This window comes from Homo sapiens, chromosome 5, assembly GCF_000001405.40.
Source record: "Homo sapiens chromosome 5, GRCh38.p14 Primary Assembly".
Classification (NCBI taxonomy): domain Eukaryota; kingdom Metazoa; phylum Chordata; class Mammalia; order Primates; family Hominidae; genus Homo; species Homo sapiens.
In genome coordinates, this window is record NC_000005.10 from 37561234 (window position 1) to 37580548 (window position 19315).

Genomic DNA, 19315 nt, shown 5'->3' on the forward strand with positions numbered 1-19315 from the left:
GCCACGAAGACGGGACAATTTGTACTTCTTGGTATCCTCTATCCTCTCTCTCAAAGTGCTAGAAAAATGGACCGATCTAACTAATATAGAAAACCGAGGGATAAGATTATTTTGGTCAGTCTATAAATCCATATTTTTGAATTCTTTTAGAAATAAAGTCTTCCTCATCGATATCACAGAGATGGTATACACTATGCTAAAACAGCTGTTTAATTTAAATTGCATAAAATATTTAGTTAAGCTATATAGCCAAAACACATGCTAACAACAAATAAGGTTAGCCACCTTGGTGGGGAAATGGAGTGATAGTTCTCTAGAATCAGGAAGAATTCATTTGTGGCAGCTGCTTTGTTGGCATGGTGCTAAAGCTTGTTTTATCCCCAACAAGGACAGGATCTGGTGTAGGAGGGTCTCAGCAACAGGCCATGTCGTTATGAGGGTTATTTTTATAAAATAGGTCTCATTGTATTGGCAAAGCTTAATCCTCTGGTGGGTAGAATCCCTTTTATTATAGTTCATATTGTGACTTACTGCTTTTTAGTAGTAAATTAGAAAGGTTCTCTGTTGATTTAACATAAAGATAGCATCTGAAATTGTAAGCAGTTTTGCTATTTATGTAAATATTGTTTCATGTGTTATTGTGGAAAAGGAAGAAAGAACTTGTGGATTTAGAGAATTAAGGTTGAAGGAAATAGTGGCAAGGAAAAAAGAGGCATTTGAGGTATTCCATGATGCTGTCTCATGGTCCTGGGGTCTACATATGAGGAGGTGACACCAAATGCATGTTAAAATTTTATGTCATTAAGTGAAAATTTTTCTTTGTTTTTTAAAATGACATACTAGGCTGGGCGCGGTGGCTCATGCCTGTTATCTCAGCACTTTGGGAGGCCAAGGCAGGTGGATCACTTGAGGCCAGGTGTTCGAGACCAGCCTGGTCAACATGGTGAAACCCCGTCTCTATTAAAATATAAAAATTAGCTGGGTGTGGTGGCACATGCCTGTAATCCCAGCTACTTGGGAGGCTAAGGCGCAAAAATTGCTTGAACCGGGAGGCAGAGGTTGCTGTGAGCCAAGATAACACCATTGTGCTCCAGCCTGGCTGACAGAGTGAGACTGTGTGTCTCAAAAGAAAAAAAAAAGTAAAATGACATCCTAGAAAAATCAGAAAACTTAGATCCTGCAAGTTAATTAATGGCTTTGAGGCTTAATTCTCTTTTTTTTTTTTTTTAATTGATCATTCTTGGGTGTTTCTCCCAGAGGGGGATTTGGCAGGGTCACAGGACAATAGTGGAGGGAAGGTCAGCAGATAAGTGAACAAAGGTCTCTGGTTTTCCTAGGCAGAGGACCCTGCGGCCTTCCGGCCTTCCGCAGTGTTTGTGTCCCTGGGTACTTGAGATTAGGGAGTGGTGATGACTCTTAACGAGCATGCTGCCTTCAAGCATCTGTTTAACAAAGCACATCTTGCACCACCCTTAATCCATTCAACCCTGAGTGGACACCGCACATGTTTCAGAGAGCACAGGGTTGGGGGTAAGGTCACAGATCAACAGGATCCCAAGGCAGAAGAATTTTTCTTAGTACAGAACAAAATGAAAAGTCTCCCATGTCTACCTCTTTCTACACAGACATGGCAACCATTCGATTTCTCAATCTTTTCCCCACCTTTCCCCCCTTTCTATTCCACAAAACTGCCGTTGTCATCATGGCCCGTTCTCAATGAGCTGTTGAGTACACCTCCCAGACGGGGTGGTGGCCGGGCAGAGGGGCTCCTCACTTCCCAGTAGGGGCGGCCGGGCAGAGGCGCCCCTCACCTCCCGGACGGGGCGGCTGGCCGGGCGGGGGGCTGACCCCCCCCGCCTCCCTCCCGGACGGGGCGGCTGGCTGGGCGGGGGGCTGACCTCCCGGCCTCCCTCCCGGATGGGGGGGCTGGCTGGGCGGGGGGCTGACCCCCCCACCTCCCTCCTGGACGGGGCGGCTGGCCGGGCAGAGGGGCTCCTCACTTCCCAGTAGGGGCGGCCAGGCAGAGGCGCCCCTCACTTTCCGGATGGGGCGGCTGGCCGGGCGGGGGGCTGGCCCCCCACCTCCCTCCTGGACGGGGCGGCTGGCCGTGCAGAGGGGCTCCTCTCTTCCCAGTAGGGGCGGCCGGGCAGAGGCGCCCCTCACCTCCAGGATTGGGCGGCTGGCCGGGCGGGGGGCTGACCCCCCCACATCCTTCCCGGACGGGGCGGCTGGCCGGGCAGAGGGGCTCCTCACTTCCCAGTAGGGGCGGCCGGGCAGAGGCGCCCCTCACCTCCCGGATGGGGCGGCTGGCCGGGCGGGGGGCTGACCCCCCCCCACCTCCCTCCCGGACGGGCGGCTGGCCGGGCGGGGGGATGACCCCCCCCACCTCCCCCCGGATGGGGCGGCTGGCCGGGCGGGGGGCTGACCCCCCCCCACCTCCCTCCCGGACGGGGCGGCTGGCCGGGCGGGGGGCTGACCCCCACCTCCCTCCCAGACGGGGTGGCTGCCGGGCGGAGATGCTCCTCACGTCCCAGACGGAGTGGCTGCCGGGCGGAGGGGCTCCTCACTTCTCAGACGGTGTGGCTGCCGGGCGGAGGGGCTCCTCACTTCTCAGATGGGGCGGTTGCCAGGCAGAGGGTCTCCTCACTTCTCAGACGGGGCGGCCGGGCAGAGACGCTCCTCACATCCCAGACGGGGCGGCAGGGCAGAGGCGCTCCCCACATCTCAGACGATGGGCGGCCTGGCAGAGACGCTCCTCACTTCCTAGATGGGATGGCGGCCGGGCAGAGACGCTCCTCACTTTCCAGACTGGGCAGCCAGGCAGAGAAGCTCCTCACATCCCAGACGATGGGCGGCCAGGCAGAGACGCTCCTCACTTCCCAGACGGGGTGGCGGCTGGGCAGAGGCTGCAATCTCGGCACTTTGCGGGGCCAAGGCAGGCAGCTGGGAGGTGGAGGTTGTAGCGAGCCGAGATCACGCCACTGCACTCCAGCCTGGGCACCATTGAGCACTGAGTGAACGCGACTCCGTCTGCCATCCCGGCACCTCGGGAGGCCGAGGCTGGCAGATCACTCGTGGTTAGGAGCTGGAGACCAGCCCGGCCAACACAGCGAAACCCCGTCTCCACCAAAAAAAATACGAAAACCAGTCAGGTGTGGCGGCTTGCGCCTGCAATCGCAGGCACTGGGCAGGCTGAGGCAGGAGAATCAGGCAGGGAGGTTGCAGTGAGCCGAGATGGCAGCAGTACAGTCCAGCTTTGGGTCGGCATCAGGGGGAGACCGTGGAAAGAGAGGGAGAGGGAGACGGTGGGGAGAGGGAGACCGTGGGGAGAGGGAGAGGGAGAGGAGGGAGAGGGAGAGGAGGGAGAGGGAGAGCGAGGCTTAATTCTCTTATCCATCAAATGTGGACAAGTTAGATCTTTTTACAGGAAAATTAGCTCTTAAGACTGCAGATAGAAAAAAATTTTTACTTCCTTTCCTAAGATGAAATTGTGAGACTCCCCTTGGTATGACAATTATATAGGATCCAATAAAATTCATGATATCAAAAAGAATGAAGTTATCCATTTATACTGTTAGTTGCAGTTTTCACTTACAGCCTTTTTTTAAGAAACCTTTTTTCATTTGAGTACTTCTGGATTACAGTTTTAAAAAGAGTTTTTCTATTTATGTTAATTGATACTTTTCTAGTTATTTTATTTCAAAGGCACCTTAAGTACAGCTCATATTTTTACGCATAAACATTTGTAGTTACTTACGTAGCTAAGATTCAAATACAAAATAAGTTATTACAGAGCCTTTTAGAAATACCATTATAATAAACTTAACCACTTTACATGACATTTTATATAACAACAAAAGATGAAGATCTTACAGATCTTGTTCTTTCTGAGTGTTTCAATAGTGGCAAATTCACTTTAGTATTATAAGGTGGGAATAAGAAGGAACTGTTAATATTACTGTAGTTTTTGTGGGTTTGAAATACTGTAAGCTCTGTAGAGAGCTTACAGTTAATCAAAAATTTATTGTGTTGTCAGCACAATTCAGAGATATTCTTCTGGATATGTAAAATTCTAAAGTCTAAATAAACGTTACAAAGCATTTGACAATCTTGACAAACTCCTTTTAAGGTCTTTTAAAAATCCCTTTTTTCTTCTCTTCTTTTTTGCTGCTTAATGTAAGACTGCTTTTGTGTCATTAGTAACTGAGCTGGTGAAATAGTTTAGCTGGTAGACATATTTTGCTGCAAAAGTCATTCCCTTTTGATCTTAACAAGATGAGCTGTAGTCATTTATCGTTAGAGTCTGTTATCTTGATGAAAGAAGAACCTTGAGTAGATTTATTTTATTACACATCAACTTGATGTGTGAAATTACTTATGTTGTCTGTATTTACAACTGTTAATTCCCAGGAAAACAGGTGTCTTTATATTATGTAGTCCACTGGAATTTAAACATTTTTTTTAAATGGGTTCATCAAGATGTCAAAATCTTCAATTGTTTAGTGTCATTTCTATGTTTTGAAAAGTTGTTAGAAGCCTGTGGATATTTAGATTATTAGAGTAACCCTTCAGGGGATAATATTTTAGAAAATAATAGGGAAGGCAGTTTATAAATAGAAGATTTGAATGTGTTCAGCATATTAGATATGGAATCAGTACTTACTTGCTTTTTAGGAATTCATGTAATTAAGAAAAATATTAGTATTACTTGCTTTTACAACAACTTTATTGAGATACAATTCACATACCATAAAATTTACCCTTTCAAGTATACAATTCAGTGTTTTTTAGTATACTCACAGAGTTGTGCAACCATCATCTAGTTTTTAGAATAGTTTCATCTCTCCAAAATGAAACCCTGTATTCCTTAGCAGTCACACGCCATTTTCCCTTTACTCCAGTCTGTAGCAACCACTAATTTACTCTGAATTTTAAAATGATGCATTAAAGGTGAAACGAATAATAATTTAGTACACTGATTCTTCCTGTTAACGAAATTATGTAATTAAATGCTATATGCATTAAATACTTGTTAGTAGTATGTTACTAAAGTTTTATTTTCCTCCTGTGATAATAGCTTATCATCACTGTGTACTTTAATTAGGTATGATAGTATATCATTAATTACCCAGTATTATTTAGTAAGAGCTTGTTGAATCTACCTCTTGTTTTTGTTTTGAAAATTTGAGATAATTTTTTTTTCTTTAACCCCCAAATCAGGACAAATACAATGAACTTAATCGTATTTTTTCTTTGCTTAGAATACTTTTCCTTCATGGTACAAACAACTATTTATATAGTAATTATAATAGAAATAATGTTTACTTTTAAAATAAACTTTGCAATTTTTCTCAGTCTTAGAAACACCCCATTTTTGCACACAAGTAATTGGCATTTTACAGATCATGCTTATTTATTTCCTGGAACAAACTCTCAAGATCCTTGATAGCTGTGCTACTTGATTGTTTGAATGACTAGTGAATTAGCAATTAGAAAGCTGCAAGGCTAATACATAAGGCCTGGTTTTGCCTCGTTTAATCCAAGGGTTGAGAGTAAGGAGGTAAAGGGAATATTTTTTGACATTTGCACTTGGACCAAAGATTCTGTTAGTGAGGAGATATGCTGTATAGTTCACCAGGGATTTAGTTCAGAGGAGAACTGTCAGAATCATCCTAAGAGTGTTATTAGATTTCTGGGAGAAAGACATGTCTAAGGAAAATCACTATAAGGCTTCTCTGACTCATTTTGGGAAGTGAAGTCAGAACCTGGGGTCTCCAAAATTAATAATAGTATGGTAGTTGTTACTGTGACTATTCCTAATAAGCTGTTTTCTCAATTTTCTCCCCAGACATAGAAATCAAGATATTAGTTTTTATTTGTAAATAAATGAGTGCTGAAACAGTGCCCTTGCTGGATATTGATAAAAGATACCTGGAGTCTGGATCAACTGGGCTCATGGAAAATGAGTATCATCACACACATAGTCATCACACCACAACTTTTATTGTGGTACACAAAAATATAACCTAAATCCATGGTCTCAGGAGCATGCTTATATATAGATACACATGCTAGATTTTATAATAGCTCTCAGAGGAAGAATGGGTTTCACTTTACAAAATTTTGTTCTGCCCACAGAATTTTAAGAATAAATCTCTTGTATAACTTGATGCTCTTATGTAAAATTAAAAGAAATGAAAAACTAAACGATTTAAAAATAACAAAATAGCTTCTGATAAGAAGTGCTAACAATATAATCTGGTTTTGAGTTTTTTGTTCTTATGTTAACTCTTTTTTTCCATGCTAGATAACTCCATGAGCAACCCCCCAAAGATGCATTGTATTGCTGTGTCTCATGGGCTTTTTCACTGAGTTTGGACATGAGTTTTGAGCATGGCTACAGAAGACTTCTTTTACTGCTCCCAGTTATCATGCCTGGCTTGTGTAATTGGGTAGTCATCATAAAAAAAAGGGGAGGGGGGAGATTTTTTTAACCTTTGAAAGTGATACCCTTTTCAGCCTTGGCAGATCGCAGTGTTCTATCTTTGTCTCTAAAATCCACATCGGAAATGCTAAGAGTTCCCAAGCTGGAGTTAGGAGAGGTCGTTGTCAGGAGGATCCTGTAGCACTTTTCAGAAATTAGAGGGTCATCCAGCAAAACTAGGCCACATAGTCTAAGGATCAAGTGCACCCAGTAATATCACTTGGATTTGAAGATCTGCATGCTTTTAAGCTTATCTGTTATTTGGTCTGGTTTCTATTTACCTATTCAAGTCCAGCACAGTTTTTGTAGTTGCTGAAAAATACCTCACTGATATCAGTTTGCATAAATAAAAGTTTTCATCTAATTTTCTTTTCAGTAGGTTGCCAGGTTTATGTGTATTTGCCATAGGACCTCCTCATTTAGCCCTACCCACCCATCCACCCACCTGGCTCCTTCTTGTGGTACAGGGGTGTAGTGAGTGATTCTGTGAATTTTTTAGGAGAATTTTATCTCTGTAGCAGGTGTGTGGGAAGTGTTTGGCAGGTGTGGTGTTTGGGAAGTGGCAGCTGTTGAGAAGGTCTATGACCTGGTCCTTACCTTAAGTTTTATAAATGCAGGTTAAAAAATACATATTTAAAAGATCTAACTTTGGTTTAGCCCCTGTTTATTTTAATTGAATCCTTTCACCAGTAATTCAATGGATTGTCTTATTAACTTTCTCAGGTCTTGTTGAGAGCACTCACAGTGAATAAACAAGAATGCACTATATTACAATCACTGTTCTCTGAAATCAGTGGGGCAAGGCACCACAATAAAGTTATTTATCAAGTGTAAATCTTAACCTTTGTTCTGATCATGGCATGTTTTTTACAATATTCTTCTCTCTTTATAATACACTGAGTGTTACTGAACTTTCTGCTGTATGAGAATCATAATTGTGAATATCTTATATGGAATTGTACTGCTCAAGATAGATGCCTGTGTAGGGTCAGGTAGGTACTAAGCAGTGAGTGGGATATTGATTGTAAAAATGACTTTGATTATTTCCCTCCTGTATCTGTGCCCCTTGCAATATAACTCTGTAGAGGTAGAGTCTGTTTCCTTACTTCTTGAATCTGGACTGGCCTTATAACTTGCTTTGGCTGATAGAAGTGGCAGAAGTGATGGTATGTCAATTATGAAACTAAGCCCAAAGAGCTGTGTGCATCTCTGCTCATGGAGCACCCTGCCTAACCTACATGAGAATAGGTTGAGCTAGCCTGCTGGATATGTTCTCACCAGTCACCCCATCCAAGAGCTAGCCAGCCACAATATATACATGAGGGAGGCCATTCTGGATAAGCCAGTCTTAGCCAATCTGTCAGGCTATTTCAGAATTATGACAAAGCATAATTAGGAGAATTATGTCAACCTGTCAGGCTATTGCAGAATTATGAGAAAGCATAGCCAAAATGAAAGTTCTAGCTGACTTGTAGAGTTAAGAGCAAGAAATGTTTATTGTTTTAAGCTACTAGGTTTGGGGTAGTTTATTAATGCATCAGTGTCTAACTTCTACATAATGATTGGTCTTAGAATGTGTGTCCTTGGAAGGGGTGGGAAGTCACTTGCTGCTTTCTCAGAAAATTGTCCTGAATGATATTTTTGCAAAATTAGTGAATCAAACACAAAAATAATTTATTTCTATGGTTGTTTGCTACCCTCAAGTGTTTGTTGAATTAAATTGCCCTCTTGCAAATAATCGTTTTTGTTGTTGTTTTAATGTCCTTTGATAATAGCATTTCATATATTATTTGTTCTATTGATCTTATTAAAAGGGGAAACCACAGGACGTCCCTTGTCATCTTGTACTCCTTTTTCATTCTTGCGTGCTCAATGTTTTGATGAAGTGTGTTAAGACTTATTTCCTCATTTGTTTAGTCATACCACAAATTGCTTTTGACCATTCAAAATATGCATAGGCACCTTGCCTAGGGCTTTTGTGAGCTTACAGTCTAGGAAGATACTGGCTACTAAACAGCAAGGTAAAATACAGTGGAATAGAAATTCTAATGATAGGAACACATAAGAGGAAGCAATTGAGGGATCAGTGTTCCCCTGAAGAAGTGATATATAATTTTAGGCCTAAAGGATGGATTGGGAATTGTAGAAAAGGGGCAGAAATAGCATTTTATGCATGAAAAATGTATGTAGAAAGACCTAAAGGCAAGATAACTGTGTAATTATGGCTGGAAATACAGAAGAAATAGGGACTAATAGTAAGAGACGAGTTCAGAGTATGATTAGAAACCAGGTTATGCAAGATGCTATAAGACATACTATTGTGGAGGGTAGACTGAAAGGAAGCAACACTAGAGGCAGGGAGGCCAATTAGGAGGGCATTGCAGTAATTTATACTAGAGGCGATGGGACCATAGATTGGGGCACTAGCAGTTGGGGTAAAGAGAAGTAGGTGAATTCTAGTGAAAGGCAAAATTGACAGGACATAGGGTCTGACTCAATGGTGAGTATAATGGAGATAGAGGAATCAAGGATGGTGTTCAGGTTTTTGGCTTGGACAGCTGGCTAGATGATTCACTGAGGTGGAGGGGTATCACAGCAGGAGGGGGCTTTAGGAGGAAGACAATGTAATTTTCAAAGTGTCAAGTTTGAAGTATATGAGAAACTTTTAAGAAGTGCCAGAAGATAGCTAGTTTTTTGCCTCTGAAACTCAGAAAATATCTGTTCTGATAGCTTTGAGAGTCATAAGTATTTGATAATTGAAATCAGGGGAAGGGGATGAGATCAACCAGGCAGGGAGCTTTTCACTTTTGAGAAAAGGACCCAAGACTGAATCCTGAGGAAATGACGATATTTAAGAGACAAAGAAGAGTCCACAGAGTGCTAAGATCAACCAAGAAATAGGAGGAAAACTGAGAGTACTGTCACAGAACTAAGAGAATGTGTCAAAGATCTGAGAATAGTTATCAAGATCAATGGCTGCTATGAGGCCAAGTAAAGTGTTGTCTGAAGAAATGTCTTTTGGTTTTAGTAACATGTTCGTACCCTTTGTTTCTAAGCACAACTTGTTCCTCCCACTTAGAATGTTCTTTACCCATTTTTGTACTGGCTGAACACCCAGTCTTCCTTCCAGATGTTTCTCAAATAGTCCCTCCTCTATGAAGCCTTCCCCAGCAAAATTATTTTCTTGCCCTAGTTTGATAGCTATAGTAACACATATAAGGTTCTCATAGATGGTTTTGTGTACATCTCTGTGCTCTGACAAGATATTGAATTCCTGAGTTCACCAAGTTTGTATGATTTTTTTTTTAGGACTGGCATCTTGTGTTACTCATCTTTTTATTCTTAATGTTCCACACAGTGGCTGGCAAGTAGGTAGTGCTTGAAAATGTTTGTGGATTTGAAAGCTTGATTTTGAATATGGCCTTAGGCAAAAAGCAGCGTTTCAAATTGCATATTAAAAGTCACTTCAAAACCGAAATTTCTAAGTAGCGCTGCCTATTGGATGAACTTTATCATATACTCTTTTCTCTAACAACATTCAAATACAAATTGCAATCTATTCCAAAAGATGCATTGCTATTGAACATAGGAGAAGGAGGTAGATAGGTAATAATCTATAATTGGCCAAGAATAGACTAGTCTTGTACTCTTTAGTAAGTGTTTGGATCCAAAATGATCTTTCAGGAAAGTGCCACAATATTTAACAGTCAGTCAAAGAGTCTGTTGTTGCCTAGATGTTGGAATAAATTTGATAACTTCTGGAGGATTATTTTAAGTCCATGTATTCATTTGTTTAAGTTAAGTATATTAAGCCACTTCCTACTGAATAATTAATTTACCCCAAGGGTTTACATTGGAAGAGAGTTACTCTTAAAATCCACTGGAGTGTATTAGGGATAAAGGTTACCTTTGATTTAGCATGCAACACTCCTTGATGTTGAATGAAAAAATAGATAGATAGACAGATAGATGCCTTATATTTTTGGTTGTAACTTTGAAAATTGGCAACATCCCTTCTCCCATCCTCTTGGTAATTTAAGTGTGCTTAATTTACTCAAATTCTTTTCTACACCTGTTCTGACATTTTATTGCAGGGATTTTAGGGGCTTGATTATTTGTTGTGCCTCTATGTAAAGGATATTTCTAATTACAGGAGCAAAAAGAATGATGTCTGGAGTCATCTGGAGTCCGAAAAACAAAAAGCTGAGGGGTATTAAGATCTGGTTTATGGAGGTGAATGATTGTCTTAGATAACAGGAGCAAGGACCTGCTGCAATAAGTAAGGATTTCTAATTCCCATGAAGGCCAGAAGGAGAAGCCAGTGATAACAGCTTCAGAAACTGCCCATAAATAAATTGCTGAGCTGAGGAATTATGTTCTGTTACTGAAATGTGTAAAATTATATATAAAGGGAAAGAGAGCAGCATTAATACACATGGCCAGATTCCAACTTCAGTAGGCAATCCCTTCCCTCAGGCACAAAACGAGGTAGTTGAACATTGTAGGAGAAATACACTGTGTAAGCCTGTGTCGTGCAATTCATTTGATGTTGTGACTGTTGTGGTGGGACTGGGAAAGCCTTGGTATACCACCAAGAAAAGAGGCTGCTGGATCTATATGGTCTGTGGGGCCCCTGGGAAGTTGGTGTACTTCTGCTGACTATTATAAACAGTTCTGCTTAGTTCATTGAGCCAGAGTCCTAGAAGTTATCCTTGATAACTCCTTCTTTTTCTTTGTATGTATTGATGGGGTACAAGTGCAATTTTGCTGCATTGATGTATTGTATTATGGTGAAGTCAGGGCCTTCAGTGTATCCGTCAGAGGAGAAACATACATTGTACCCACCAAGCAACCTCCTGTCATCCACCCCTTCCCACCCTAAACTTCCTTTCTTTTAACCCCACTTGCACCAGTTCTGTAGATTCTACCTCTAAAAATACATATTGAATCAGTGCACCTTACTCACTATTAAATATTATTTGAATGAGGGAATAAATGCATTCAACTGCCTGAGTTCAAATCACCATCAGTTCTCAACAGATCTTTCACTTGTTTTCCTCCCACTGCAAACATAGTGATATTTTCTAAAAATCACAAATCAAGTCATGTAACTCCCCAACTTAAAACCTCTAGGCTTTGGGCTAAAATCCGAAATGTTTATTACTTCCCACATCATCTTGCATAATCTTGTTCTAACTCTTTTTAATTCATCACAGCAACTGATTTTCTTGTCCTCCAATAATTTAAACTCTTTTCCATCTCTTAGCTTTAGCACCTGCTCTTTCTTCTTCCTGGAATGCTCTTATTTTCACTCTTCTGACAAACTTTACTCCCTCAGGGATCCTCAGTCTAAGTGAAGTTTCTCTGTTATACTTTTTGAAATTCTTGTACTGTTCTTTAACAGCACTTGTTAAAGCTGGAAGTTATGTAAGCTAACCTGTGGGTTTTTTTCTCCTGTAATTTTTTTCTTCTGCTTTGAAAGTTCAGGTTTCCCGTCTTGCCTTAAAGGCTTTACTCCTACAGTTCTCCCTGTTCCCCAAATCATCATTCTTCTTTACTGGGTCATTTCAATCAACTTATTAATATCCGTCAGTAGCTCTCATTAAACAGTAAGAATAACAAAAGGCCCCTGTTCACCCGAATTCTCCCTCAGTTACTGCCTCTTTTTTTTTCTTATGATACTTTATGTTTTAGGGTACATGTGCACAACGTGCAGGATTGTTACATATGTATACATGTGCCATGTTGGTGTGCTGCACCCATTAAGTCATCATTTAACATTAGGTATATCTCCTAATGCTATCCCTCCCCCCTCCCCCCACCCCACAACAGCCCCCAGTGTGTGATGTGCCCCTTCCTGTGTCCATGTGTTCTCATTGTTCAATTCCCACCTATGAATGAGAACATGCGGTGTTTGGTTTTTTGTCCTTGCGATAGTGCCTCTTTTTTGTTGTTGTTCTCCCACAGCAAAAGTTCCAAAATGAGTTAGTTGTCTGTAGTCTCTGTCTCATTTCTTGTCTGTCATTCACCTCAGAGCCCATTTCAGTTAAGCTTTGATCCACACCGTTCCACTGAAATTACCCTCTTCAGGGTTCTCAGTGACCTTCATTTTACCAAATCCACTGGTTAGTTCTCTCTCCTTTCCTGGCTTCTCAGCAACCCTCAGCACGCTGGATCATTTCCTCCTTGGAACATTCTTTGTTCTTGGCTTTTGTGACTGATGTGGTCTCCCAGGCTGCAAGAGCTGAGATGGAGGTAGGCTGGCAAGATTTTTATTGAGGGGAGGGGATTGACCGTGAAAGATACAAGAGGAGCAAAGCAAGATTGGTCAAGCCTTCAGACCAAGATCTAACACCTATGGAAGTTGAGAGGGGTGGAAGCAGGATTGGGTAGGGAAGACCATAATGCAGATCTAACAAAGTATTTGACAATCCACTGGGACCTCTGGAGCAAAGGTTGCTTGTTAGAGGAAACCCATGTTAGGTAGACTTGGCCAGGTCATACTACCCACAGTGTGCTCTCTTATTGGCTAGGGAAGTATTTGTCCTTAACACAAAAGCAAAGCAGATCCTAAGGTGTTAACAGGTGAAGGTTGTCAGTTAACTGTACTCTTTACAGCTGAATGGCAAGTTGTTTCTTGAAAGGACATCCTAGCAGCATACCCCCCTCCATGGCTTGCTACAGTGATGCACATTTCTTTGTCTTTTCCTTACCTTAGTCATCACTTCTTCTCAGTTTCCTTTGTTTCCTTCTCCTCTTGTTGTCAACCTTTGAAAGTTAGCATATGTCAGGATTTGTTTCTGGACTCTGCCCTTGTTTGTAGTTTCTTCCTAAGTCCTGTGGTTTAAATCCCATTTCTGTGCCTCAATCCTTTACATCTCTAGTTCTGCCCACTCCGCTGACCTCCAGACTTACAGATCTAATAGCCTGCTGGTTAACTACTCTTTGGATGTCTAACCAGACACTTTAAGCTATATGATCAAAATAAAACTCTTGGTTTTCTTCTCCAAACCGGTAGCTCTCCTATTTTTCCTTATTTCTATAAACAACACTGCACCCATCCATGTATTAATAATTGACTAGACCAGAGATGTGAGAGTCATTCTTGATTTTTCTTTACCTTTCATGTTAAATCCCTTAGCAAGTCTATCTGTTGTACATCTAAAATATAACACTTACTTGTCCATTTTTCTCCTTCTCCACAATGACCCATGTTGTCCAGTACATTAGAAACCATTATGATCCATCATGTGGACTCTGCAGTGGTATCTTAACTGGACTGTTTGCTTTCTTTTTGCCTTCCCAGAATCCCCTAGAATGAAAGCTCCGTGAGGGCAAGGGCTTTAACTGTCTTACTCATCTCTGTGTCCACAGCGCCCAGAACACTATCTGGTACAGAGTGGATACTCATTAAATATTTGTCATATGTATAAAGATTGAATGAATCACTTCTTTAGTTGGAATTTATAACATAAATCAGATTATGCTCTTTCTTGCTGTGACATCATAAAAAAATACGTATTTGGTCTCAGTCCCCAGTTTCTGACACTGAGCTCCTAAAACCCTTGTAATTTTTCTGGGTGATGGGATGATGGCGCACCTTCTACAGAGCTCCTAAATCCTTGGAATTTTCTGGGTGATAGAAGCATGTTTTGTGCTAATGAGGTGACTCTTGGTTGACTTCTGGATGGCTTCAACATGGGGCTGGTCACCAGAAAAACCAAGCCATGATTAGACATTTGGAACTTTAAGCTCTACCCCCATCCTCCAGGGAGAGGAGTGAAGATGGAAATTGAGTTAATAATTTATTATGTCTGTGTGATGAAGTCTCCATAAAAAAATCTCAAAACTATGAGAGCTTCCAGTTTGGTAAATACAACCACATGCCAGGAGCCTACCCAACTCCGTAGAGACAGAAGCTCTTGCACTCAGGAACTTCCAGACCTTACCCTATATACCGCTCTTCAATCCGAGTGTTCATCTGTATCCTTTATAATAAACTGGTAAATGTAAGTCAAGGGTTTCCCTGAGTTCTGTGAGCCCTTATAGCAAATTACCAAACCTGAGAAGGGGGTTGTAGCCAAGTTAATTAGAAATACCAGCAAACCAAACTTGCGATTGGCATCTGAAATGGGGGCTGTCTTGTGAGACTGAGTCCTAAACTTGGGTCTGACGTTAACTCCAGTTAGACAGTGTCAGAATGAAATTGAATTGTAGGATGCCCAGTTGGTATCTGCTGGATAATTTATTGTTGGTATGGAAAAACACACACATTTTGTGTCAGAAGTATTACGAGTATAAAAAGCAGATTTCCTTCCTTCCTTCCTTCCTTCCTTCCAACTTCCTTCCTTCCTTCCTAACTTCCTTCCTTCCTTCCCTCCCTCCCCGCCTCCTTCCCTCCCTCCCTCCGCCCTCCTTCCCCCCTCCCTCCCTCCCTAAAATCCAGTGGTTTATCCATTTAGAATAGAATCCAGATTGCAAGATTCTCCTCCATCTGGCTCCTTCCTACCTCACTGACCTTATCTCATGTTACACTGTGCTCCAGCCACAGCTTACCTCCATTTCTCACACTGAGCTCTTTCCCAGATTAGGAGGTTTCACTTGTTTGTTCTACTTCCTGGTGTGTTCTAAGGCAAGATAATAGCTCCTTATCATTCAGTTCAAATTCCAGAATGTCATGGCCTCAGAGATACTTACTTTTCTTGTCCATTGTATGTAATTTGGGACCTTTCCTCTGATTTTGTTATATACTTGTATTTTATTTAGCAATACAAAAATGAATAATTAGAAGAACCAGTTAATTTTTCAAGCTATTTAGTCTCTAAACTTTATTTTCACTTAGGACATTAGAACAACTAGGCTCTTTTTAATTTTTAATTAATTGATAGCGCTTCCTTCCAGTCCTATCTATCAAAGAACGCTTTCTTACCCTCCAGTGTATCTAAAATGAAGAACCCAAAGTAGCTAGACCAGATCCTAGAAAATTGAGTGATTTATGATCATTTTAGGAAGGTCCTTAGGTGCTGTACCGTAAATATTTGGTAGTCTTTTTTTTTTTTTTCCTGTGGTTTTCTAAACCCTCAGAGACTTCCTCAGGAGAGTGACATCATCAAATTTATTTTTATTTTTTGTAATAAAAAGATCATTTTTATGACAGGGTAAAGAAGAGCTAGGCTAAAGACAGGGAGTTCAGCTCAGTCACAAGATTAGTTCTAGAGTCTACACAACAGGAATAAAGGTCCAATCCAGGACACTCGTGGCAAGTTGGTGGAAAAGAAGGGACAAGTGTGTGGCATGCTTCAAAATGGGATTCATCAGACCTTATCATCTGATCAGATATTCATTCAGTCATGAGTTATTGGCACTTACTCTGTGTTATATCCTGAGCTAGGTTCTAAGGGATGCTAGTGAGCAGGATAGCTCCCAATCTAGTCAGGGAGAAAAATACTAATGAAGTATAGTTATAGTTTACAGGCAGTCCTTTGAAGCTGACAGAATAAAACTTATAGGATGATGATGATAATGATAAAATAATAATATTGCTTGAGGCCAGGAGTTTGAGAGCAGCCTAGGCAACAGAGTGAGACACCTTCTCTACAAAAAATAAAAAAGGAATAAACCAGGCATGGTGGCACATGCCTGCAGTCCTAGCTACTCAAGAGGCTGAGGTGGGAGGATTGCTTGAGCCTAGGAGTTCGAGGTTGTAGTGAGCTGATTAAATGCACTCCAGCTTGGGTGACAAGTGATACCTTGCCAGCCAATCAATCAAAAAAATAATTAAATCGTACATATATACATATAAAATAATAATTCGAGAGAAGAGGTCAGGGAAGACTTTCCCAGGGAGATAATGTTTTAGTTGAGAATGGAGGAGGAGAGAGATACACGTGTGAGGCAAAATTATATTCTAGACAGAAGGCTACATGTGCATTGTAGGGATGGAGAAGAAGGAGTCAAGGATGAATGAGACCACTTCCTTGAACAGTTGTGTTAATGCTGACTCTCCCCAAGTGATACAGGGAAGGTAGGAGGAGAGCCGGTATGAGGGGAAAGATATTACATTCTATTTTTGGCATGTTAAGTTTTAGCTGCCTGCAGGAAAACCACATGTCTGGCTGATAGTTGGAAATGTAGAATTGCAGCCCAGGTGATGGATAGATACATGGATAGTAAAACTTAGACCTGAGAGACATTGTATAGGTGGTGTTGAAGTCAGAGGGATTGGTACATTTACCTCAGAACACTGAGGAACACAAACTAGCTTTTTAAAGACAAAAGTCAGATGTAGAAGGGACAGGAAAACTGAGCATCAGAGGAGGAAAAGGCTTCAAGGAATAGATGGTGAAGGATGTGCATAACTGTTGTATTTGGCAGCCAGGCAGTCATTGTGGTCTCTCTCAGAATATAGTTTCAGTAAAGTGGCAGAGACAGAAAATAAGGCTGCATAGAAAATGTGAAAGAAGTTTTGGTAGAGAAGGGAAGAAGTGTGGAGAGGTGGAAATAATGGCTGTTTCATTAAGGATGGTGCATGAATATAGGCAGAGTGGAGAGGAAGAATGAAGTTAATGAGTTGAATAACCATAAATAGGTCAACATTTTTAGGAATTTTTCTTTGCCTTTTTTGGACTCTGTACTAGGGCATTGCCATTTTATTTTATAGCTCTAAGTGTAATAAACCCACTAGTAGTGGATGTCGGAAAGTTGCAGAGTAGCAGTGTAATCAACATGTGGACTCTGTCTTTTTGTTCGGTAGTTGACCATTCAGCTGGAATTGCTCCCTATTTATGAAATTTTAATAACACACTTCACTGATTTCTTGGCTGTGTACCTAGTGTTTCTCAGTTTTATTGAAAATCGAAGCAAATTTGTGTCATTTTTCTTATTTAATGATTAAGGCACAATATTTTGGGTAATTTTCTTCCTATAATTAAATGCCATCAATTCAATAAAATTATTTGAGCTTATTTGTAAGGCACAACTAATTAGACTCTGTTCTCAAAGAGTTCACAGTGTAATGTGGGAGAGAAAAATGTACAGTGTAAAATATAATGTGATATGACAAGTTTTATAGAAAGGGAGTGTAATACACTCAAACATACAGAAACACAGAAAAGTTATACATTTAGCCTAGATACATTTCCACAGGTGGGCACTGACCTGAACCTGACCCATATCTCTTCCACATGTTGTGTTCTCATTTAAATAACTTTTTTGAGATTTTAATTTTCCTGTGTAATTTTAATCTTAATGTTGCTATTCTGTTTCTCTAATTCCTGTGGTAAGTGTGTCTTCAAACTGTCTGTTCCTTGAAGGCACACAATTAAGAGAAATACTGGAATGAAGGAGCAAGCGAATGAATCAAGGCATGTAACCAGACTAATCGCTTCAGAAGGTTGTGGATTTTTGTCTGTTTTGTTTAGCACCTTATCTCCAGCACTTAGAGCAGTTCTTGGGATACCACTGGGTTTGTAAATACTTTTTGACTGAATGGAAGGAAGATGTAGGGAGAGAAGGAAGAAAGGAAATTTTTAATGTATTCACTTCTGGAAGAGTAGTGAAAAGGAAAAAGACACAAAATCCAATTCTGGCCGGGTGCGGTGGCTCACGCCTGTAATCCCAGCACTTTGAGAGGCTGAGGCGGGTGGATCATGAGGTCAAGAGATTGAGACCATCCCGGCCAACATGGTGAAACCCCGTCTCTACTAAAAATACAAAAATTAGCTGGGCGTGGTGGTGGGTGCCTGTAGTCCCAGCTACTTGGGAGGCTGAGGCAGGAGAATCACTTGAACTCAGGAGGCGGAGGTTGCAGTGAGCCGAGATTGCATCATTGCACTCCAGCCTGGCAACCGAGTGAGACTCTGTCTCAAAAAAAAAAAAAAAAAAAAAAAATTCCAATTCTGACAATGAACAATTAGACATTTAAAATATAGATTTAATTATTGTTTGAAAAAAAATTGGATCTCAGTGTATTTTTAAAAATCTGTTCTGTTATTGTGAATAATCCAGCATGGTATTTTCTTTCTTACAGTTTTCAGTAGACTGGGCACCCACAATGGAATTTTTCTGATAAGCAACTTTTATAAACAAGACATCCCCAAACATTTTATATTATGTTTTTCTTTAGATCATTTCCACCTTCTCTTCAATTTCTTCTCTTTTGTATTTCCTTAACACTCCGTTTTAATTTTGCTGTCCTAGGACTTTTAGATTAATATACTTAAAAATTATTGGGTTCTATTCTATCTTATTGATTCATTAGAGGTCATACGCTTCTTGGAAAAACATTTGCTTCTCAAAAATTTATATCTTATCTGTTGTATGCCCAAGACAATATATAACTTAGTATAAATATGGAATTATACTGTCCATAGAAACTCAAATATTCCTGATATCAATATATGTTGCTTTATAATTTTATCTATTTAATGAATTCACTTAATTTTTATTCACTGTTCTGTTTTTAATTTTCTACTCTTTGCATGTGAATCAAATTAAGATAGTTTATTTGGAAGCCGTATTGCCAAGCAGCTATGGAAAGCTTTGGCTTACATTTTGAAATTTTTTTCCTTTGTCTTTGGCCAACAGCTCAACCCCTTTGGTGTCCCATCTGCTTAACACACGACAGCTATGGCATATTTCCATTTATCTGGGTCAGAAGATAAAGAGGGCTTCAAATCAGCCTGGATATTACCTACCATTGCTCTGGGTCTGATACAGTGAAAGATGGAAACTTTGTTTTTCCCAGGAATAGATGCAATTAAACCCATTACTGTGAAATGCCCCTAATTGAATTCTAGATGTTACTTAACTTTCAGAACATATAAGCACCCA

The 19315-nt window shown here is 40.7% G+C and overlaps 1 protein-coding gene across 5 annotated transcripts in view, besides 2 other annotated features; it reads left to right on the forward strand.

Annotated features, from left to right (window-relative positions):
• The window catches only part of WDR70 (WD repeat domain 70), a 374118-nt gene that overhangs the window by 181916 nt on the left and 172887 nt on the right, over positions 1-19315 (forward strand). The window lies entirely within an intron of this gene.
• Positions 1196-1903: an enhancer, noted in NCBI's record as "NANOG-H3K27ac hESC enhancer chr5:37562531-37563238 (GRCh37/hg19 assembly coordinates)". NCBI's record gives its function as "activates a minimal SCP1, AML or CMV promoter by ChIP-STARR-seq in naive H9 embryonic stem cells {active_cell/tissue: H9 hESC(naive)}" and the evidence as "EXISTENCE:reporter gene assay evidence [ECO:0000049][PMID:30033119]".
• Positions 1711-1889: a silencer, noted in NCBI's record as "fragment chr5:37563046-37563224 (GRCh37/hg19 assembly coordinates)". NCBI's record gives its function as "represses an EF-1alpha promoter that drives an FKBP-Casp9 reporter gene in an ReSE screen in K562 erythroleukemia cells {active_cell/tissue: K562}" and the evidence as "EXISTENCE:reporter gene assay evidence [ECO:0000049][PMID:32094911]".